This window comes from Homo sapiens, chromosome 13, assembly GCF_000001405.40.
Source record: "Homo sapiens chromosome 13, GRCh38.p14 Primary Assembly".
In the NCBI taxonomy this organism is placed as follows: Eukaryota; Metazoa; Chordata; class Mammalia; order Primates; family Hominidae; genus Homo; species Homo sapiens.
Genome location: NC_000013.11, coordinates 50,949,017 through 50,974,381, shown reverse-complemented (window position 1 = coordinate 50,974,381; position 25,365 = coordinate 50,949,017). Strand labels below are relative to the sequence as shown.

Sequence of the window (25,365 nt, the reverse complement as noted above, 5' to 3'; positions counted from 1 at the left end):
CTTCCCTTTATTCCTTCTTCTTTTTCAATCAAGGAGAAGATCATGAGTTGAGATAGTCCTTAAGATACTCAAGTGTGACTGTGATGTCAAAAGACCACTAGACATTCAAGCACGGAGCTCAGATGGGAAGTCTGGATGGAGGTCTACATTTGTGGAGTAGTTGAGTCTTGAGACGTTGAAATAGTAATGAAAAGGTGGTATTCAGCCTGGATAACCTTCTAGAAAAAATATTTAATACCTTCATAGATAACATTTAATCAAATAGAACTGGGTTTTCCAAAGGCTGGTGATATTAAGTTCTTAACAGCTGTATCATGATGGATCGAAATGATGTAAGCATGAACAAGTGAACAAACAAATGTAAAACAACACAAAACCCAAACAATAAACACACACCCAAGGGTTCCTAGATGGATAGGATTCCAGAACAGGATTCATCTGGAAGGCTTTCCTGCCTTAATTTTTAGGTTAAAGCTTGGGTGATATGCAGGGGAGGGCATCAGTACTACAAGACTGGCAATCTGGCTAGATTGTTCTACGGTCTGTGCTGTGCTATTTTATTTATGTTAAATATTGTGGATAACATTCTTGCTATAAAGTGACTAAAGAAGGTGCAAGGAAAAGTACCAAAGGAGTTTTATGAAACAGCAGTTTATTGAGATGCTATATGGGAAAAATAGAGTGGTAAAATATATCTGGGAACATTGAAAACTGAATGCATCTCTAGTTTTACAAGGCACATGAAGATATGTGCTCCAAAATCGGTCAGGAGAGAAGTCTGTCAAATTCGGTATAACCTACTTATTTTGCCACAAAATGCTGTTCTTTCTCCTAGGTAATAAGTAGCAATATTTAACCTCTTTTAGCAACAATGATACAAAGAAAAATGTATCTCAATTTTCTAAAAAGGCCCCAACAATATCAAATTTTTATAGTTCCCTTCATTATATTATCAAATCACATAAAAACTGAGGGAGAAATGAAACATTAAGTTAGGATCATACAATTTTACATATTTCTAGAAGTGGCCTAAGTAACTTTAAAACCATTAAAAGTATAGTAGCAATTAATTTATCCCTATAAAGTTCTTTTGAAAAGCCAATTACGAGCATTCAGAAATTGAGTCTCTACAGTTATTTCTGTGAAGTTGAGCAATTTGGTTACAATCTGCTAGGGCAAAAAAACAGCAAAAACTGCACGTCACCAAGTGTGAAACATTCACTGGCTTCTGTGTTCTGCTCATTCAGTAGTATGTTTTTCTCTCTCCCCTTAGTTTTGTAGACAGAAACAGTAATTATCAGTCCTGGTTGTGATATACTGCAGAGCATTTGCAATTATTTCTAGGGCTCTTAGGAAATCTTCAAAGCAAAATTAATTAATTTCAGCATGTGTGTACATGCCCCAAACACACAATTCCAAGCAAATCATGTATCTTTGACTGGGTTGGGAAGTCAAGGAATCGGATAGTAGAGACCTGAAACTCTAAAGGTGTGGGGATAGAAGAAGGGCAATTATTTGATACTGGTAGGATTTGCTAAGATCTACTTGAATGCTAAGCAAAAAACTGCGAAACATATATAGTATGGTTCTTCCTCCAAGAAACTTACTAAATGAGACACAAAAATTTTAAAAGAGATTATAATCTGGAGAGGAAAATTATGAGGGACTAATGGTATAAAATAACCAACTGAGTAGTTTTATTTTTGTATTAGCATAATAGTAACATGTTTATCTAGAAAAATTTCTAAAAAAGGGAGACAAGGAGAAAGGAAAAAAAGGAGAGAAAAGAAGGAAAGAAGGAAGTGGGGAAAGAGAGAGAAAAAGAGATATTACTTATACTTGCAGTACAAATTTGTTTTTTGTTGTTGTTTTTTTTTTTTTTTTTTTTTTTTTTTTTGAGGCAGAGTCTCGCTCTGTTACCTAGGCTGGAGTGCAGTGGTGTGATCAATAGCTCATCGCAGCCTCGACCTCCCAGACTCAAACCATTCTTCCACCTCAACCTCCCAAGTACCTGAGACTATAAGCACATGCCACCATGACCAGCTAATTTTTCTTTTAATTTTTATTTTTTCTAGAGATGGGGGTCTCACTATGTTGCCCAGGCTGGTCTCAAACTCCTAGGCACATGTGATCCTCTCACCTTGGCCTCCCAAAGTGCTGGAATTACAGGCAAGAGCCACCACACACAGCCCAGTAAAAAAGTTTAAAAAATAATTTCAGCCTTCTAATTTAGTTTTTTTCCAATTACTTACTATTTAAACAGAACCACAGTGAATATTCTTGTAGCTAAATCTTTGCACATATTCATGATTATTTCCTAAGGCTGTATTTCTAACAATGGATATTGCTGAAACAAAGAAAATGCAACAAATTCAGGCTTTTCATATTTATTTCCAAGTTGGTCTCCAAAAGTTGTACCATTTTCTATTCTTACCAGCAAGGCCCACTTCCCACCTCCTCTCTAGCTCTGAGCATGGCTGTTTTCTAAAAGTCCTTGACAACTTGATAGGGAAGGAGTATGTCACCTTGTGTGTCAGTGACTCATGCGCTGAGTGGGGGATACATGCGGCATGCTCAGTGCTATCTTGGTGTTCTTAGCACCGCGGGTTTGTCTCTATTTGATACATGGCCCATATGGTCTCTGCCCTCAAGAGAACAGCCTTATGCTTGGTGGCAGTGGGCATGAAGAAGAAAGGGCTAGCCGGGCACGGTGGCTCACGCCTGTAATCCCAGCACTTTGGGAGACTGAAGTGGGTAGATCACTTGCGGTCAGGAGTTCGAGACCAGCCTGGCTAACATGGTGAAACCCCGTCTCTACTAAAAATAATTTTTAAAAAAATTAGCCAGGCGTGGTGGTGCGTGCCTGTAATCCCAGCTACTTGGGAGGCTGAGGCAGAAGAATCGCTTGAACCTGGAGGCAGAGGCTGCAGTGAGCCAAGATTGCACCACCGTACTCCAATCTGGGCAACAGAGCAAGACTCTGTCTCCAAAAAAAAAAAAAAAAAAGAGAGAAAAGGGCTTATTCAAGTGCTGGAGTTTTCTATTTCTTGATTTGTCTTAATTTTAATTTTCCCATGAGGTATTTCTGAAGGAGAGCTCAATAGGATTGGATTCTTAGATGAAACGATGAAATGGATTGCATGAACAGTGACTGTAGGGCTGCTCGGGCTGCAAGGCAAAAGATAGAAACTGGAAGTGGGAAACTGGATAACTAAGAAACATGCTTGATTCAGGGTCAAGGATGCAGTCACCCAGGGGAGCCTGAGTAGTGCTGGCAGTGGGAGGTGGGGATCACTTCTGCCTTCTCTTTTTGTGAGAATGTATCATGAATTACTTGTGAAAAGAAAAAAAACAACCCAATGAAATCTTGTAATGTTAGGTGTTTGAATTTAAAGTGTTGGAACAGAAACTTGGGGCACAGGTAAGACAGCAGGGTTTCTAGTGACAAACTTGGACATTATCAATATCTAGTGGCTTTGGTTTTTGCAGAGGGAAGATTCACTTTTCCACTACAGAAGGGCAGGAATTTTTAAAGTCCTTTGAGGTTAACAAAAATTTCTACATGTGAAGGGAGGTGTGGAAAAGTGGCAGACTACTTCCCAGAACTAGGATCTAATTATTAATACTCCTTGTAGTCAGAGATTCAGAAACAAAATTATTTCCTGAAGAAGCAGATTGGGGTCCTGTGTGAATGCGGGAAGATCAGCTGAGCAGCACCCACACATTCCTCTTGCATGTCAAGTGGACAAGCCAGCTCAAATCCACAGACATTTTTGCACAAAACCTCCCACTACCTGCTAAAACATATGCACTACGCACCAGATTCCCCACCAAATCACTTTTTGGCATCTACTTCCAACCTTCCGTCATCTCCTATGTCCTTACTCTGAAAAATAAAATAATACACATACTGGACAAATCTTCTAAAAAGGAAGAAATGTTTAATAACTCCTGGAGAGATAAAATGCCAACGTTTAGGTATATTTATGAATTAGAAGCTTCCAAATTGATATGGAGTAAAGCAGTGTCAGATTTTTAAAGTAAGGGTTGAAACTTGGTTTGCCAAAGCTTTCAGGGTGAAATCAAGACAATCAAGTACTTTAAGTCACCACATCCATACCTAAAACATGCTGGCCTGACCCAAGCTTGAGGTCCTCAGACTGAACAGGTGCACCGCTGGGATGCTTTCAAGCTCCTGGACGGAACCGCCTAGCTGAGTGCTCCAGGGAGGAATGCCGCTGCCCACATAGACTAGTGGTACTAATCAAAGAAATAAAGCATTTACAGTCAGCGCTTTAAAATGCACCTTTTGGCACCTGGCGATTTTCCAAAAAAGTGCAGAAGAAAAAGTCCGAGTCCTCTGGGAGTGTCTGAAGTTGCAGGGAAAACCGCCAAGCCTTGCGTGGAGCCACCACCATCACTTGCCCCTTTTCTGTCTTTGTGCTGCCATCTAGAGAGGAAAGGAAAACATGTGGTGTGTCCTGGTGAGGAGAAACAGTCACCTGAAACCCCAAGCACCATCTGCAGCTCCTAGAACAGAACGCAGGGCTGGCGGGTTTAGTCCTGAGGGCAGCTGAGCATTTTCGCTTCTAAGAGATGACCTCAGACACAGGAAGGGGTTCCCATCGTGGCCAGCCTCCGAGATCTCATTCTAGGGTTCATAGCAGGCTCCTCGAGAGCACACCAAGAAGTATGTTTTTCTTTGAATGTTCAAAGGGAGTGAAATATAATGTTGGGGTGGCCCAAACTTACAGGATGGGCACCATCTTATAGGAAAAAAAATAAAATACAAGAAATGCACGAAAGTAACGTTCTGAGATGAGTAATTCTTAAACCATTTTTCTTTTTTTTTTTTTTTTGTAGAGGCAGTTCCTTTTATAAAAAGCAGGAAGCCTTGTGTAGACTCCAATGTATAAAAAATAGATAAGCATATACTTGTTGCTGATAGAAGTAGTAGCACCTAATGTCCCTGTGAAGAATGTACTGAACAAGTTTAATTACTACAAGTTGATTTTTTATTGAGTGCAAAGTTAAAAATAACGTATTCTGGAGCTATATGTTACAAAAAAAAACATGTACATGGAAATCAAACTTCTATGCCAGAATGTGGATGAGAAGGAAGCAAGGCCTTCCCTGACCACCCACTCCCCAGAATTCAGTGCCCTGCCTGGTCAGCTTTTTCCATAGGCCCTGGCACTATCTGAGATATCATCTGTCTACTCGCTCTAGAATGGAAATTCTTGAGGGCAGGTTATTTTTGCCTGCCATGTTGATATCCGCATTTCCTCTATCTACAACATGTCTAGCACACAGCAGGTGCTCAGTACATGCTCTTAAAGGAACAAATAAATCTAAGTTGATTCCTTAGCTTCTTTTGCTTGTTTATGCAAGAACAACATGTCTAACTTTAATTTTACAAGTATTCTGATTTCAAACACGTGTAAAGTAACAATTATTTTAAAGTCCATGAAGAAGCTCTGATTTCTCTGTAAATTTCATTTGGTGCCGTCCCCCATTTCAAATAGTCTTGATTAGCCTGAGACCATCAAAATAACATTTATTAATGAAAGTACAGTAAATGCTAAAACACTGACAGCTGAATTAAAGATTTGACATGCAAATGTACCAGCTAAGTAGAAGCTTTACTTAAATTCTGGCTTGCCATCGTTGAGGATAAATTGACCTGCAGAATTCATTATGAATAAAGCAAGAAGATGCAGCAGAATAAATGTGATTTTTTTCCTTTCTTAAAATAAAATTTGCAATTAAAACAGATTATTTAAGGCTAAATGGTCATATAATGGTATGAATAGGAACCTTGGGTAAACAAAAGGAACGAGGCTTAGGCTTGGCATCTGGGCTTGGCCACCTACTGTCTGTATGACCTCACACAGACCATCAATAAAATAAGGATACCACCTCTTTCTGGTCTACCTTGGAGGGTTGTTGTAAAGATTAATTTATTTTATTTTACTTTTTTAAGAGACAGGGTCTTGCTCTGTCACCCAAGCTGAAGTGGAGTGTTATAATCATAGTCCACTGTAACCTTGAATTCCTAGCCTCAAGCAATTCTCCCTCCTCAGCCTCCCAAGTAGCTAGAATTACAGGTGTGTGCCACCACACCTGGCTAATTTTTTATTTTTTTTTTTGTAGAAACAGTCTTGCTATGTTGTCCAGGCTGGACTTAAACTTCTGGCCTCAGCTTCCCAAAGTACTGGGATTACAGAAGTGAGTGACTGTGCCCAGCTAAGGTCAATTTAAATACTGATAAGTGATTGCTGTGAGAACTGTAAAAATACTATGAAACACAGGGACGAACCCTTTTGGTCAGTCTAATGGCTCTGAGGAATATATAAACCTCAGGACTGTGTAATCTCCAAGTGTATACCAAGGTGTAAAAATCAAATCATATCTTCTGATTATTCAGATGAGGACAAAGCTCATAAACATTTTCTAAGTACACTTGGAAAACACCCTCCCACTTGCTTCTCTAGACCTGGAGCTCTTTGTCTTCCAAGAGATCTGACTATGACATAGCTAACTCCCAAGATTGCCAAATTTTGGATTCGTCCTAGAGAAAGGGGTGTTTGGGAGAAAATATGTAATACAAGGCAGCTAGTCAAGTTAGATCAGCTTTAAGAACAGAGAAAGTCAACTCCTAAACTATGTGAAAAGGTTGTCTTTCATATCTGGTAAAGAGGTGATGTTCTAGGATGTAACAGAGTCAAAGTTAGAGCCACTGGGGAAAGGGAATTTGATGTGGTAGAGTCTGGATGTGAGAGGTCCTGAATTCAAGTTCTGGCTCAGTTACTCATTAGCTGTGTGATGTTGGGGAAATGAGCTGACCTTCCCTTGTTCAACTGCAAAACAAGAGAAATAATACCCTTTGTGCCATATGGCTCCTGGAAAGATTAAACACATAAATTCATGTCAAAGTTGCTTTAAAAATCACAATGCGCTTTGCCAGTCTTTGTTATTACTTTCCAACAATTGTGTTCTTTGTATTTCTTTCTATGGCAAAGTGAAATAATCTTTGAAAAATGAAGAAAAGAAATATACATATACACATATCATGGGCACCCCAAAACCCAGTATGAGCATTTTGTTGTATTTTCTTCCAGACTTTCTTCCAGCAAAACACATGAGCTGGTTCATCTAAAGAGTTTAGGGGAGTGCCTAGTGCATGGTAAGCACTGCATGAAAGATAACTCTAAAAGCACTTTCCTCCCAGGTGTAAAGGAGACATGGCTCCCCAAGCACCAGCGGCTGGAGGGAAAGACATAAAAAATCTTGATGATATAGTCCCATTTCATGCTGAGAAGTGACTGGGGGCCAGAGATGCCAATGACTTCCTCCATGGCTCACAGAATTAAGGCGGAACTGAGACTACAACCAGGAACAATCCTGCCATGTTGTATTAATTAGTCTGTTTAGTACTGAAACATGGTTGATGTGAAGTCCTTTTTTCACTTTATTTATATTTTTAAAGATTAAGATATTTGTTCACTGTTGTCAGAAGTTTGCATACAATATAAACAACACTGTACATTTAGTAAGAAAACAGGTACACTTTAGGTTCTCACTTAGAGCTTGCCTTTGTGTCTTGCTAAGGCCCCAAATAAGAGAAATATGATTTTGGGAATGGACAGCAGCACAATATGAAACAGATTCGAACAAACAAAAGACAATTCCACTTGACATCCAATTTAAGCCTTACAGAGGAGAGTCTCTTTGGCAGTGCAGAACCGAGAAGCACAAACCTTGAAAGATGACAGGGTCTGAGACTACAAGGTAAATTTAAATTGAAGATAAACTAGAAATAAAAAAGAATGTTGGCAACCTGTGATCAGTTTCAGAAAAAAAAAAATATATGGCTTGATGAAAAAGATGGAGGCTTTTGTCTATGTACCCAAGTGGTTTTGCAGTTTGTGGAAATGTTGTGAAGCTTTCCCAAACTTGGCACATTAATCAAAGAGAAAAATGATGTAAGTAAGAGAAGCAAAGGGCCAAAGGATTCAAGTAGGCTAGCGTATCCTAATGTTTAGTACAAGAGTCTAAAAAGGCTCTAGTCTGAAATTCCTTAAAGAATTCTAAAGGACAGGCTATGTAGATTTAAGTCTGTATCTGTGCCATATGTGGGTATGCATTTATGTTTGTGTGTACTTATGTGTATATATGTGTGTTTATGTGTGTTATGTGTGTATATGAACATTTTATGTATAACTATAAACCCACATGGATTTATTCCTAATATTATTCCCCAAAATGGCACCTGGTATGTGTAATACCTTTTGTTTTTCACTTTTCAATTATTATTCAGCTCAGTTATGTTGTACATTGCCAGTGAGATCTTCAACTTGGCATCAAAGGTAAAGTGAAACAGGCAAGAAAACAAAATTGCCAGTTTACCAAATTCCCAAATAATTTGTAGCTAAATCATAATATGAGCTCCTATTCAAGCCTCTGTGAATACAAAGAGTTTATAAAAACCACATATATTCTCAAACTGCAATAATTTAGGTTGCGGGCTTAATATAAATAATCTCTAAATGCTACGTAAAATGACTCCAGTAAGTGCAGTTCAATCAACTGACAGAAGAAAATTCACAGCCCTTTATCCAGAGAGATTAAAGACTGTATCTATTTCATTTATTACCAGCAACATTAACACACAAATTTAAGGCCCATACAAGTTTATGAGTGAGTTTATGAATAAGTCCTTGGACTTCAAATACTAATGCATCACAGAAAACTCATTCTCAGAACGACTCTTGAAGTTCAAGGTTTAGCCACAAGGCTGTCAAGGACTCCAACACTGTATTGCTGAACACCTGTCTGGGGTGTCCAGGATGGATTGATGGATTGGTTGGTTGGTTAATTCTCTCATGCAACAAACATCTGTTGAAGGTCTACTGTATGCAACCCCAAGTTAGGTGCTGTGTATGTACAGTCATGTGTTGCTTAATGATGGGATATGTTATGGGAAAAGTGTTGCTAAGCAATTTCGTTGTTGTGTGAACATCACAGAGTGTACTTATACAACTTATACAGACCTATGGTGTAGTCTGCTACACACCTTGGCTATATGGTACAGCCTACTGCTCCTGGGGTACAAACCTGTATAGCATGTTAGTGTACTGAATACTGTAGGCAACTGTAAAACAATAGTAAGTACTTGTATATCTAAACTTATTTAAACATATAAAAGGTAATGCAATGTGCTACAACCTTACGTTATGATGGCTACAACTCACTAGGTGATAGGAATTTTTCAGCTCTGTGTTATAGTCTCATGGGACCACCATCGCATATGCAGTCTGCCATCAATCAAACCATTGCTGTGCGGGGCATGACTATATGTGAAGCAGTCAGGCAAGGTCCTATGCAGGGAGTAAGGCAGGAAAATGGTATGGAGAGTACTGAGTAGGAGCTGGGTGGGGGTAGGGGAGGAAGGTCAAGGATTGGGTCTCTGGAAAAGTGATTAAGATAAGTGATAATAACAAGATGGAGCCAGTCCTGTGAAGATTCAGAAAAAGGCACATAGAGACAAACCAGTCATACAAAGGCACCAGTGTGGAAACAGCTTGGCATATTCAAGGACCCAAAAGAAACCCAGAAAACAGCTTAGGCACTTTAAAGGTAGATAAAGATCTCGACTTTGCTGGAAAAAACAATCAAGTCTCAATTAGTGAGAATATTGCTGAGATTATTCAACCTGTCTGACTATCATGTACTCATCCTTTACCAATTGCATACTGTGTGCTCGGCACCGTGCAAGACACAAGCTTGAATGGTACAGAGTTCCTATTGTGAAGAAGCTAACTTTCAACAGGGATAATAATGCAAGTGTTTAAGCAGCTCCTCCTCTCATCTTTTGAGCTTTGGGTGGGTGTCACTATTCTGGCTCGTATGGCACTCTATGATTATAATTTTTGTAGGGATTAAATGAGTTATTATATGTAAAGTGCTTAGATCAATGCCAAGCACATAAATGCTATACAGTGTTTGTCAGTATTATTAGTTAGTAGTATAGTGAAATGATCGTAAAAGAAATAGGATATTAACATAGTTTCAAAGTATCTCAAAAATTAAGGGGCATTTATAAAAAAACTGGCTACTACTCTCAAAAGTGTCAAGGTCATTGAAAGACAAAGGAATATTGAGGGACTCTTTTTTTTATTTTGAGATGGAGTTTCCTCTTACTGCCCAGACTGGAGTGCAGTGGTGTGATCTCGGCTCACTGCAACCTCCACCTCCTGGGTTCAAGTGATTCTCCTGCCTCAGCCTCCCGAGTAGCTGGGATTACAGGCATGTGCCACCATGTCTGGCTAATGTTTTGTATTTTTAGTAGAGATGGGGTTTCTCCATGTTGGTCAGGCTTATCTCAAACTCCTGACCTCAGGTGATCTGCCCGCCCTGGCCTCCCAAAGTGCTGGGATTACAGGCGTGAGCCAACGCACCCGGCCGGGACTCTTACAAATTAGAAAACACTGAAGAGATGTGGCAGCTAAATGCAATGTACCATCACAGACTGAATTCTGAAATTAAAAAAGTATTAGTGGAAAGATAGGTGAAAGTACAATAAGGTAAATTTTCTGGTTTTGATCTTTGTAGTATGGTCATGTATGCTAATACTGAGGGAAGCTGGGTGAACATCATATCTAAACTCTACTATTTTTGTGACTTTTCTAGAAAAGTATAAAATTATTTCAAAATAAAGTAAAAGAGAGAGGAGAAAAATAGACCTAGAAGATAGAAAATAACAAAGATAATAGAACTAGCAAATGAGGACATTTAAGTAGCTATTTTAACTATATTGAAGTATTTAAAGAAAACTGCAAGCATAATAAGAACAGATACGGGAAGACATAAAGAAGAACCAAATGGAACGTCTAGAACTAAAAATTACAATATTTAAGGCCGGGCGTGGTGGCTCAGGCCTGTAATCCCAGCACTTTGGGAGGCTGAGGTGGGCGGATCACCTGAGGTCGGGAGTTCAAGACCAGCCTGACCAACATGGAGAAACCCCATCTCTACTAAAAATACAAAATTAGCCAGGTCTGGTGACGCATGACTGTAATCCCAGCTACTTGGGAGGCTGAGGCAGGTGAATCACTTGAACCCGGGAGGCGGAAGTTGCAGCGAGCTGAGATTGTGCCATTGCACTCCAGCCTGGGCAACAAGAGCGAAACTCCATCTCAAAAATAAATAAATAAATAAATAAAATTACAATATTTAAAGTAAAAATTAAATAACTAAGGTTAACAGAAGATGAAATGCTATAAATCAAAGTAAACTTGAAGATACACCTAGAAACTGTCTAAAAATGGAACATAAAAAAACAAACAACCAACAAAACAGAAACTCAGTGATAGGACCTGGAGGACAATACCAAGTGTTCCAGCATACATGAAATTGGAGGCCAGAAGCTGAGGGGATAGGGAGAAAAGGGAGGAAAGAATGGAAAAAGGTATTTAAAGAAATATTGGCCAGAAATTTTCCATATTTGATGAAAATTAAAAACTCAAAAGTTCAAGGAGCTTAATACACTCCCAAATGAGATAAACAAAAAGAAAACCACATCAACACATCATAGTCAACTTGCTGAAAACTAGTAATAAAGAAGAAAATCTTAAAAGAACCCATGAGGAGGAGACACATTATGTAAAGGAGAAGAAATATAAGAAATATCATAGATGTCTCATCAGAGATTATGCAAGCCAGAAGACAATGATTCTTTGAAAGGATCAATGAAATTGACAAACCTTTAGCTATACTAACAGAGAAAGCAAAAAGAAGACACAGATGACCAACATCAGGTATGAAAAAGGGAATATCACTACAGATCCACAGACATTAAAAGGATAATAAAAATGTGATGAACAACTTATGCCAATAAATTTGACAACCTAGATCAAATGGATACATTTCTTGAAAGACATAAATTACCAAAACTGGCACAAGAAAAAAAAAGAAAATTAGAATAGCTCTTCATCTATTATAGAAATTGAATTAGTAATTTAAAAGTTTCCCCCAAAGAAAATTCCAGGTCCAAATGGCTTCACTGGTGAATTGTGTCCGACATATAAGGAAGCAACAACACCAACCTCACACAAACTCTTTCAGAAAATAAGTGATGAAAGAATACTTCCCAACTCATTTTATAAGCCCAGTTTTACTCTGACATCAAAATCAGACAAAATCATTACAAGTAAAGAAAACCACAGACCAATATCCCTCATGAACAGAGATACAAAAAAGTACTTAACAAAATATTAGGAAAAAAACCCCATACTACATATAAAAAGAATAATATACTGTGACCAAGTAGGGATTATCTCAAGAATGCAAAATTAGTTTAACATTCAAAAATCAATCATTATAATTCATATATTAAAAGACATTCCTCTATTAAAAAGAAAACTACTTGATCATCTCAGTAGATACAAATTATTTGACAATATCCACATATGATAAATACCTATATATGATAAAAACTCTCAGTGAACTAGGAACAGAAGGAAACTTTCTCAGCCTGATAAAGGGAATCTACAAAAAACCACACACATAGATAAATACTGATAGATACATGGATAGATTTAGAAATGTTGATACGAGTATATAGTGTATATATGTGTGTGTACATGTTGTACACACACACACATTTCCTAGCTTTGGCTCCTAAGCAATGACATACCAATAGCAATGAGCATACCTACTGCCTAGATCTTGGTTTCTAAATACCATTCTTCACTGAAAGGAACCAGGGTTCTTTGAAAAAAAGGTGGATTCAGGGCTTGCACAGGACAAGAGGCTGAAACTCCAGTCGCAGAAGCAGGAATGTATTAAAGAATGATAGAAACATACCCAAAAGATACACAAGTCAGCTTGAAGGGTCTCCCACTAGCTCTTCTGAAACAACATGAGCATTAAAATTAATAATAATAATGCAATATAGCCCACTGGATAAAATAAAAATCTATAAATCCATACTGTTAAGAATTCATAAATGAGGGAAGAAGCAAGGAAAAGGGAAAGTTCTTCCTTACAGAAGAATGCCAACTGATAAATATAGAAGAAATGAAAGTTAGAAAATCATCAGATCCTAAAAATAGTGGGCAAACATCCGATAAGAAATAGGATACTTACAAAGTCCCAGAATACTTACCCACAAATTACTTATTAATTATAAAAATAATCAACAATAATTCACAATGAAAACTGTAGGCAGCACCTTAATCAAGTGATCAAAGTCAACAACACTGATATTGGGATAGACTGTGATTCCTGCCATGGTGTACTGAGAAAGACATATTACTCCTGGAGGTGCCCTAAGAGTATGACTTGAATTTAATCAAAAAGAAATATTAGAATAAGAAATATTCCAGCAAATATTTACCCTGTACTCAAAAATGTCAAGTAAGACAAAGAACAGATGAGAAACTCTTGCAGATTAAAGAAAACTATAACAACAAAAAGGCTCCAGTGCTAGATAGTTTTACCTCTAAGATTCTTAAACATTTTCCAGCAATAGAATATAATAATGCAAAATGAATCCTTCCAGAACATTGGAAAAAATGGAAAGCTAGCCTAATTCTAACGCTAAAGCCTAACAGCAGCATTGCTTATGAATATGTCTGCAAAATTCCTTAATAAAAGTGTAGAAAGTCTAATTGAAAACTATATTTGACAAAGGTTAAGAAAGATAGGATGTATCCATTATGCTATTGATCCTTTATCTACTGCCAGGGTGAGTTTATTAGACATTTGGGTACAGTTTGATAGTAAGTAGTAAAAACTTTATAGACACCTCAATAGATGCCAAAAAGCTTTCTGATAACAACCAACACCAATTATTAATTTAAACCTTAAGGAAACTAAGTATAAAAGGATGGATAGTCTTTATCATATTAGCAACAGCTAGTGTCAGAATTAATGGTAAAGCACATCAATAAAATCACCAATTAGACAAAGACGGCTATTATTACTCTTTAATACTGTTCTGGATATTCTAGCCCATGTAATATAATGTAAAATATATAATAAAAGAGGTGTAACTATTAGAAAGAATTGCATGCAATTTTTAAAAACTAAATTACATACTATATTATGTACTAAAACCCAAAATAAATAAAATGGAAAATTTTTCCATTAATAGTTTAGTAAACTGGTTATTTAAAAGATAAATATATAAAAATATAAAACTTTACCACAAAATGACCAGTTGGTAGACCTAGCTGGAAAAAAACAGATTTCATTAATAGCAATGAAAATATCTACACATACTCATACAAAGATATGTCTAGAACCTATTGAAGATGAAGAACCGAACATTAGTGAAAGGTATTCTTAAGACTTGAGTAACTAAAAAGAAATACTATATTCCCAAATAAGAATATTTAAGTTTGTAAAGATGTTTGTTTTCCCAAAGTAAGTTATGCATCTAACAAAATCTCAGTAAAAATCCCATTGGAACTTACTCTTAGAACTTGACAAAATAATCCTACAGATTAAATGAAAAACTAAACTGGTGAGAAAATAATTAAATTACAGCTTTACCTCACAGCATATTTAAACATAATTACACATTCTCTAGATGATTTAAGTAATTAAATATAAAACAAAAATAGGCCAGGCGTGGTGGCTCACGCCTGTAATCCCAGCACTTTGGGAGGCCAAGGCGGATGGATCACCTGAGGTTGGGAGTTCAAGACTAGCCTGACCAACATGGAGAAACCCCGTCTCTACTAAAAATACAAAATTAGCTGGGCGTGGTGGCACATGCCTGTAATCTCAGCTACTCGGGAGGCTGAGGCAGGAGAATCACTTGAACCCTGAAGGCGGAGGTTGTGGTGAGCTGAGATCACGCCATTGTACTCCAGCCTGGGCAACAAGAGCGAAACTCCATCTAAAAAAAAAACAAAAAAGAACCAAAAACATAACTATTAAAAAAATCAGAAGAAAATAAAAGTGTCTGGTTAAATTTCCTGTAAAATGAAATATCTTTCTAAGTACAATATCTGTGTAAAGGAAAAGTTTATGTATATATGTCTACATAAAAACTAAAAACACCTGCATGTCAAAAATCATAGGCAAAATTAAAGGCAAAGTATAAACCAAGAAAGGAAATTTACAACAAACACAGTAGAAATAATTAATGTCCTTAAGTTATAGAATACTTTTAGTCAATAAGAAAAATATTGATACTCTAATAATTTAGCAAAGAATATAAAAGACAATTCTCTATAAGATGACAATTGATTAGTAAGTATGAAAAAATGTTCAAAATCACTACTAATCAGGGAAATATGAATTAAAACCACAATAAAATGTTTTTACACTTATTTCCAAAGGTAACAACCAATGCTAACAAGGTGGCATTAAGCTTTCACACCCACTGTTTGTTAGAGTGCAAGACCATTAAAATAAGCCTAGAGTGCAAAAGCTTATAAACTTTCCATGAAATATATTCCCATAAATATATATTTGAAAATCCAATAAGCCCACATCCAAAAATCCATTATAAGGAAACAATAAAATATGTGGACAAATATTTACTTATAATCTGATTCTTCAAATAGTGAACATTTGTGAATAATCCAAATGTCCAAACAGGATCATGGTTATTAAATAATCAAATATCCAAATAATCAAAAATTATACTGTCATTAAAAAACATATTTATGAAGAACAGTTAGTAGTCTGGGAAAATAGTAACAAAATAATGTTTATAAAAAGGTAACTACTGTGATTTTTCACAGAATTAGAAAATAACTATTCTAAAATTCATATGGAACCAAAAAAAAGCTTGGATAGCCAAAGCAATCCTAAGCAAAAAGAACAAAGCCAGAGGTATCACATTACCCAACTGCAAACTATACTACAAGGCTACAGTAATCAAGACAATATAGTACTGATACAAAAACAGACACATAGGCCAAAGAAAGAGAATAGAGAACCCAGAAATAAAGCCACACACCTATAGCTATCTGATCTCCAACAAAGTCAACAAAAATAAGCAATGGGGAAAGGACTCCCTGTTCAATAAATGATGCTGGGATAACTGACCAGCCATATGCAGAGGAATAAAACTGGACTCCTACCTATCACCATATACAAAAATTAACTAAAGATGGATTAAAGAATTAACTGTAAGACCTCAAGCTATAAAAATCCTAGAAGAAAACCTAGGAAATACCCTTCTCAACATCAGCCTTGGCAAACAATTTATGACTAAGTGCTCAAAAGCAATTGCAACAAAAATAAAAATTGACAAGTGGGGGCCTTATTAAACTAAAGAGCTTCTGCACAGCAAAATAAAGTATCAACAGAGTAAACAGACAACCTAGAGTGAGAGAAACTATGCAACTGACAAAAGACTAACATCCAGAATCTATAAGGAACTTACACAAATCAATAAGATACAAATAACCCCATTAAAAGGTAGGCAAAAGACATAAACAGACACTTCTCAAAAGAAGACATACAAGTGATCACAAACATATTAAAAAACGCCCATCATCACTAATCATCAGAGCAAAGCAAATGAAAACCACAATGAGATACCATCTCCTACCAGTCAGAGCAGGTATTATTTAAAAGTAAAAAAATAACAGATGATGTTGGCAGGGCTGCAGAGAAAAGGGAACACTTTTGGTGAGAATGTAAATTAGTTCAGCCACTATGGAAAGCAGTTTGAAGAATTCTCAAAGAACTAAAAACAGAACTACCATTCGATCCAGAAATCCCACTATTGGCCACTATTGGCTATGTACTCAAAGGAAAATAAATTATTCTACCAAAAAGATACATGCACCTGTATGTTCATCACAGCACTCCTTACAATAGCAAAGATATGGGATCAACCCAGGAGCCCATCAACAGTGGAATGGATAAAGAAAACATGGCATATATACACCATGGAATACTACACAGCCATAAAAGAGAATGAAATCATGTCCTTTGCAGCAAAATGGATGCAGCTGGAGGCCATTATCCTGAGCGAATTAATGCAAAAAAACCAGAAAACCAAATACCACATGTTCTCACTTATAAGTAAGAGCTAAACATTGGGTACAAATGGACTTAAAGATGGCAATAATAGACACTGGGGACTTCAAGGGGAGGAAGAGTGGGAGAGCAAGGCTTGAAAAATTACCCATTGGGTACTATGCTCACTACCTGGGTGACAGGTTCAATTACATCCCAAACCTCAGCATCACACAGTATCCTTCTGTAACAAACCTGCATATGTACCCCCTGAGTCTAAAATAAAAGTTGAAAAAAAAAAAAGGTTACAAAGTAACTGTAATTCCTTTCTAAAAATTATTATAAGACAATACATTATCTCTGGGTAATGAAGAAATGGGAGATTGAAGTTCTTATTATTTTCTCTATTTTCTAAAAAGTGAGCCGAGATCGCGCCACTGCACTCCAGCCTGGGTGACAGCGAGACTCCGTGTCAAAAAAAAAAAAAAAAAATTTACCAAAAACTAAAGCCTTTTTAAAGTAACAATTTACCTCACAGTTTTGTAATCCAGTTTCTCTCAGTATATTGAAAATATTATTACTAAACCTACTGAATGCAAAGTTGCATTAAAAAGCAGTCATACACTCTAACATTGTCACACATCAGTTTATTGAGAAAATCATGATGCTATATGTTAATTCTCTTCAAGTGATTACTTTTCATTATGTCAGATGAGACTCCAAAAGGCCATAGCCATGAAGTTAGACACTTTCCCATATTTTGTTCAGGAACACAAAAACCAAATGCAAAGAAATGTTTAAGAGAACATGAAATTGGCCTCTTCCTTCCCCCAACCAAAGGTAGTCATTAACAGTCAGGAAGGACAAACTGAAACATGTAAAAAGCAAATATTTTTGCTAGATTTTATTTTCAAAGTTTCAAACCTTTCCAATTTTTTTTTTATTTTTTACCCCAAAAAAGGTATCAATACTTTTCATTCCACTCTTGTCAACTTTAGCCAAAGCCTTCTGAGCTGCAGTCATTTTGCTATTTTTCTGTTAATGAAAATAAGAGAGAAAAATTGTTATGAATGTAACATTTATTAATCATATATGGAAATCAAAGAAGACTGCATGTCTCAAGTTTCATTAAGGAAGGTAAGCATCCCCCACTAACATGCTTCATAAGGGAGTGAAAAAGTTCTGATTTCTATTCAGAATTCAGACCTAAGAGACAGAATATGTTAAAAGAGGCAGAAGACAAAACTGCTGCCTTCTAAGAAGCAGAATGTTCCAACCAATGGTTTACACTGGGGAGGGGGTAGATAATTCTGGAGGGTGCATAAAGTACAATAACACAAACAATGGAACTGACACAGGCCGCAATTGTCAGAGGTAGGAATTACAGCCTTGTATTACCACATGATGAATAATTCACACCAATTTACCATCTGATTTTATTCATTTGCTCCATGGGAAACCAAGGACAACCCTATGATATTCAAAAGATGACTTGTGTTGCAAAGCATCCCAGACCAGCAGGATAGCTGCCTTATTTTTCCTCCAACAAAGCAATACTTTCCAAAAAGCTGACTCCAAATAATTCTGCCCTGTACATTTCTATCTCTCTCTGGTCACTGAATTTTTTTCTTCCATGTCTTATATAAAGCACTTGCAGAAGGTAAATAGCAGCTGATTTAACTTTGATGCAGATGCACCACAAATTGTTCAGAAGAAGCATAAATGATGGGAATCAGAAAACAAAAAAATCACCTGTCTCCCTGGGAACTGTAAGACAAAGTCATTGATAAAGTATTTTTTAGAGGCACAGTATATGATTCCCACAATTCTGCTTTTCACATTCTGTCACTTATAATTTAGTAGGCTTATTTTTGACTCAATGGTGCAAAGCAACAGTCTGTTTCAGACTTATCTGGTGCATTTAAGACATTCTCCATGCTGTGCCCAAGTGGATACAATAAGTGGCACTCCCACAGAAGGGCGGGGCACAAAGATTTCTCTCAGAGAAACTGACAATGTCCCTGTTGACACAGCATCGAGATAACTCGCTATTTGGGCAGATCTTAAATCGAACTATCCTCAGTATCATATGCCCAAATAAATTACATATTGATTCAAGAATAACAGTTCTAAAAAACATTAAACTCAAAGGGCAGTTAGTATTTTTAAAATCTAAGTGAAAGTTAACTTATCTTGAGATGGGCAAGGCCTTCCTAAGCATAAAAACAATGGAAAAATCATAAAGGGAAACAATTTCTGTACTTAACACTCAGAAAAATTTAACACTGTTAAAAAATCAAATGAAAAAGTTAAAACAAGTTTGTATCCTATATTTCATGAAAAGTGTTAATAGCCTTAATTTAGAATGAGCTCATACAAAGCAACAGAGAAACATTACTATCTCAACATAAAAACAGGCAAGCGACAGGAACCAACAATTTGCAAAAATGCAAATGGGCCATAAGCATTTGGAAAAAGAACCTTTCTAGTTAAAGAAATGTAGCCTAATTTGACAGGCAACAATGTTCAAGAATAAAAGCAATACTCAATGTCGTCAAAAATGCAAGATAAATACTCATTGGCAATAATGTTTGGAAGCACAACTTTCTCCATTTTTGAAAAGCACTTTAGCTATATATATTTCAATTATGAAAGAATTCATGTTCTCCAAGCTCTTAGTCTTAGTTCAAAATTGTGTCTAATGAAATGATTGGAGATACAGACTGTAAATAAGAATGTCTATCACTTCAATAAAAACAAAAAATAAAAAAATCAGAAGTAACCTATATGTCCAAATATAGGGAAATGATTAAATTACATTCCATATGGTGAAACAAACACCCATGACTGAATATCATAAAAACATGAATATTTTTTCAAAGAATGTTTAATGATATGTGAACATTTTCACAATTTAATGTTAAATAAAAAGCCCAGAACTGAGTATTATAATGCCAATGTTAAAGGCCACATATGTATTTATAATGCATGTATAAAACTAAGTAAGGACTGTTACCAAAATGCCATTTGCCAGGGTGAATGCTGAATGGTGAAATTATTAATTTTTATCATCATAATTTCTGCTTCTGGGCAGCAGGGTTGACAAAAAATTACCTGTAGAGCTTCCTCCCTCCTTTCCCACCCTATCACTCTATGAATACATAGCAAAATTTAGGCACACTCTTGATAAGTAGTATATTGTTTTTCTCTGACTAATAATAAGTCTTAGTTGCTTAACATTTTCATTGTCATATGCAATTCTTAATTATTAAGTCACAGAAATGCAAGTTAATAATTCTTCCTGGTCAAAACTGTAATCACAATCAAGCGTGCAACTGTTCCTCATGTATTCATGCACATCACGCACTGAGTATGAACGAAACACCACTACACCTGAACCCACATACCTTTTCAGTCTTCAAATCTTTAGTATTAAACTTAGTGTAATCTTCTTTTGCTTCTACAGGCTCATCTGATAACTTTATTTTCTGCAACATTAGAGCAGTGAAGTGGTGTCAAATGTCACTTTGACACAACATCAATCCATTAAAAAAAAACCCAACATGTATAATTTAGACCTCTACAGAGGCGAATGGGACAGCAGACCCAGCAAAGGGCTTACTTTTTACAGGCTCCTTTACATTTTGCCAATCATCTAGGGAATTGAGCCACACATCACTCCTAAGAAGCAGCCTTGGTGATGGTGGATATGATTGGGTAAGTACATGGCTGAGCCCCTTAGCTGGTCCAGCAAACACAGGCTTTGTAGGTGCCAGGTGTGGTGGGCATGAGGGGATTGCTAATTACCAGATGAATGCAAGGCACAGAAGTCAAAATGAGAATAGTCTCTTGAAGGGGGCCAGGTGTCCAGCCAGAATCCCTATTTCATTTACCTCCTGGGCCAGTTTAATGTCCACTTATGAATGAAGGGACAATATTTATCTTACTTTATCCATGCAAGAACAACCTTGCACAAGCAAGCAGCCAGTAAGAGAGGGAAGCACAGAGAGGCTAAATGAATAGCTTAAGGTCACCAAGTAGAGGACTTTGGCCAAGATTTCAATTCTGATACAGTGTTCTTTCCATTAGGCCCAATGCAACTAAGTCAGACCTTTACTTAATATTTTCTCCTTTCACATGAACATTTTACACCAGTGAATGTGAGAATCTTGTCAAGGCCTTAATGATCACAATATAGAAGAAATCATGCCACACTTATTATGTAAAAGGTACAAAAGCAGGGAAGACAAGTCTTGCTGTTGAACATGGAGAATTGACTGCATGGTGATCACAACCCAGATTTTTATAATTTTCAGGCTGTTTATGGAGACACCAGGTTGACCAGACCCAACATGGATCTAACCTAGGAAACAGACTTCTTCCCAGCTTCATTCTTCATGCCCCTGCTTTGCTAAACAAAGAACGGGTAGAGTTGGTGCTAAAAGATTCCACAGCCCATGGTGTTTTATCCCATAACCCAAGAGGATAAAACACCATGTCTTAAAATTGTTTGCTGTAAAAAAACAGAGGCTCATCCTGGGAATATACCACACACTATAGGAAAACCTCTTGGCCACACAGCAACCTCTAGCAAATGAATCATTAAAAGAAAAAGACTAATCCATCACAAATGAACCACCTATCAGCACCAAGTGAATGTATATTTGCAACTTTGTTAAGAATATATGTTTCAGCTTGGTGCAGTGACTCATGCCTGTAATCCCAGCACTTTGGGAGGCCGAGGTGGGCGGTCACTTGAGGCCAGGAGTTGGAGATCAGCCTGGCCAACATGGCAAAACCCCATCTCTAATAAAAATATAAAAATTAGCTGCGCATGGTGGCATGTGCCTGTAGTCCCAGCTACTCCGGAGACTGAGGCACAAGAATTGCTTGAACCTGAGAAGCAGAGACTGCAGTAAGCTGAGATTGTGCCACTGCACTCCAGCCTAGATGACACGGCAAGACTCTGTCTCAAAAAAAAAAATACATGTTTCTATTTAAATTAAGACAGCAAAGGGTGTTTAGGTGATGCACATTTTTTACTAGAAAGGTATCTTCAGCTAGGAGGGTGAAACTCACAGCTAATAATGCTGAAGGCCAAAATATTTTCAAAACACAAAAAGCTTGAAGTTATGAGGATGCTTGTGTTCCTTCTCTATGGCAAAATGTTCCTAACACAGATGTCATTATAAACACTTAGACATTATTCCCTTTTTTTCTTTAGAGACAGGGTTTCACTGTGTTGCCCAGGCTGGAGTGCGGTGGCTATTCATAGTTGCGATCATCATATACTACAGCCTTGAACTCCTGGGCTCAAGCGACCTTCTGCCTTAGCCTCCTGAGTAGCTAAGACTACAAGTGTGTGCCACTGAACTGATGAGGTTCACTTTTCATTGATAATTCAAATAAAAAGTGTTCATTACAAGAACTTAAGATGAAAGGTACTTTTGTATGGACATAAAATGTTTAATTGGAGAAATGACTTGTTCAGGTGTTTTAATAGCTCACAACAAAACAAGATACCAGTTACAAGTGTTTAAAAAAAGAAAATGATTGTGGTAGCCTCTACATATAACTAGTTTGTATGTTATTCCCAGTGCACTGTTGAATATATTGGAAAAAAAGATGATTGAAGCATTTACTAAAATTTTTGTTATTTAAAAGACCAAATCCCTATGGATTTGGGAGATTGTTTCAGCAGAGAAGTGGCTCAGAAAGACAGTAACAAAGGCTATGACTAAATGGATACAGTTCTGGAAAGAGAACAAACTGCAGAGTACCACAGGGATAATGTTAGGCCTTCTTACAAATGATTTGCAAGAAGGAACTCGGGAACATCTCCAAACCCACTGGTTGCATTCAACTCTGCTTGCTGACAGTGACAAATTGAAAAGACTGGAGCAAGTGAGGGTTGGAAGCTGAGTTTCAACAAAGGCAGACATATGATAGTAAAGGAAAATAATATAAAACATATTAAAGATGACAGGCTCCACGCTATCGATTACAACATAGATACAAAGATACCTAATGACTACTGGAATATATTTCCTGGAAACAGTCAACTATATTACTGTAAAAATCAATCAAATCCTGGATACAGACAGGAAAGCTAGCAGAAGATATGTTCTACGCTTGTTTAAACGATGGTACATCGTCTAGTATAGTTTGTCATGTGTACACTGGAACCCCAGAAAGACACAGAGTAGAAGACCTCGAAAAGCAACTCAAATAATATAGAAGACAAGGCTGGGGTTTAGGAAGAGCAAGATGCCAAAATCAAAATCAGGGCTTGGCAAATGATGGCCCAGGGGCCAAATCCAGCTGGCTGCCTGCTTTTATAAATGAAGTTTTACTGGAACACAGCCATGCTCATTCGTTTATGTATTATCTGTGGCTGTTTTCACAATACAACAGCAGAGTTGAGTAGCTGCAATAGAGTCCATCTGCTTCATGGAGCCTAAAATATTTACTGTCTGGCTTTAGAAGAAAAGGTTTGCTGATCTCTGATCTAAATCATAAATGATGAAGTCACAAACAACTTAAATTCTGAAAATTAAAATAAGAAAACAGAAATCAGGAGCAGAGAAGAATAAAGTTATGAAACATATTACTCCAAAAGGTATCCAAGGTTAAAGCTTTCAAGAATAGGTTTAGATCAATTCATGAATGATCTCTAAGTTACTAAGGAAGATAGATATTTGGGAGAAAAAAATCTGCTTCATTTTTGGATGAAGAAAAATAAGAAGCACGCTGAGAACCTACCCTCTTAGTTTCAGCAAGACAACTGTGCCTCTCTAGGTCCTCTAGAGCTACTGTCAGAGATTAACTACCGGAATGAAAGACGCATGGGTCTGGCCTAGAGCAGTCCTTAGATCTTACAGCAACAGACTTCTGCCCAGTGCTATTCTCCAAGAGAGTAAAACATGCATTTTTTTTTGACAACATGCTGAACATAGGCCCAAACAAACACTGCTGTACTTTCAATTTTCTGTCCTTTTCTAAGGACAATGTCTTTGGAGCCACCACCACCTTTATACAGGGAATGACATAAAAAATTATGAGCATTTTAGCTACCTTGAAGGCCAAGAAAACAATGCAAGGGAGAAGGAAAGTTTGTAACATCCACAATATGTCCATTTTACATTCTCAAGGCATCCGTTACTTTGCTGGCTGAAGAAATGACCTCACTGACAAGCTGGTGCACATGTTTATTTCCCTGTCTTGGAGCAGAGTTTAACTCATCTGAGATCTGGCCTGGGCTGAAGGAACGCTGCAATTTGCAGTCAGGTGTGGTTTATGATTGGCTTCTCCATTCTCTGGATCTAGGAGATAAACATACCAGCTGCAGAGGAGCTGTGGGTAGCAGCCTGAGAATGAATGAGGAAAAGATTTTCCACTAACAAAGATTACACGTAAATTCATCAATCATTTCAAATTCAGAAAAAAAGTGATCATCTTTGCTCAAAGGATTCTTTGTATTATGGAAATTGTTTTCTGTTCACCTTTGTGCCAGTGACAATTAGATTTGGCAAAATGAGTTTTAGTTATATATAGAGTATGCTTAGTGATTACTAAATTTAATTAAGTGATCTAACTAATGCAGGAAGATTTAATTTTAACTATATGTCTTTAATATTTTCACAGGGGTACCTTGCTAAAACCAACTCTTCTTGGGTTTTCATGGCACTTTATTTACCATTCAGGTGGAATCCACAAAAATAAAAAATAGTGATGGAGAGCCCAGTACAATCTTTATTCCACATGGCATCACTCCATGCAAAATGGATTTAGTACACCTTAAAATATATTAGAACCAACTAAACTCATGTGGTAAGAGTGTAATATTTTTCTAAGTCCCCCAAAGATATCTTAGTCACAGCTTCTTACCTTTGATGGAGGATTTGGCAATGAGGCTGAAGGTTCTGGAAGCCTAAGAAAGTTAAAAATAACAATCAAAGTCATCGTTTTTCATAGACAAACAAACAGAAAGACAGGGCCAACTTAAGACTTAGTAAGTCCTACTTTTCAACTTACAGCTTTACCTCCATATATCTTCCTGTTCAATCAACTCAGTGTAAAGAATGAAAGTTTTCTCAATAAATGAGTCTTTATTTTGATATGTAAGTCCTTGTTTTGGTGTTGTCTGAACTAAAAAATAAAATTAGAACCCATCTGTTGGAACAGAGTTCCTTTTCTTTAGCCTCTATAAATTTGTGTTTCGGTGTTGGAGTATTTTTTCTTCATAGTGAAGATGCTAACATATATTTAAAGGTGAAAATCATTTTAACTGTTCACAAAAAGCCACATAAATTTCAACTTTTCTTCCATTAGAAAGCAGTTTAATTGGCATACCTTTCTTCTGAACTCTTCAACCAA

The 25,365-nt window shown here is 36.9% G+C and overlaps 1 protein-coding gene across 12 annotated transcripts in view; it reads right to left on the bottom strand.

The window, feature by feature from the left end:
- Nucleotides 3,922-25,365, bottom strand: part of RNASEH2B (ribonuclease H2 subunit B) — a 60,783-nt gene continuing 39,339 nt past the window's right edge. For 6 of the 12 annotated variants that reach the window (NM_024570.4, XM_047430615.1, XM_006719867.5 and 3 more), the window contains 3 exons: nt 24,877-24,919; nt 20,397-20,477; nt 17,620-18,024 (listed from right to left, as the gene is read on the bottom strand). In NM_024570.4, the coding sequence (NP_078846.2) occupies nt 17,908-18,024; nt 20,397-20,477; nt 24,877-24,919 (241 nt within the window). In that variant the 3' untranslated portion in view covers nt 17,620-17,907. Of the gene's footprint in view, nt 4,451-4,997; nt 12,913-14,210; nt 14,238-17,619; nt 18,025-20,396; nt 24,357-24,876; nt 24,920-25,365 lie in introns of those variants that run through there. The other 6 variants (XM_047430613.1, NM_001411023.1, XM_047430617.1 and 3 more) reach the window with 6 other exon arrangements.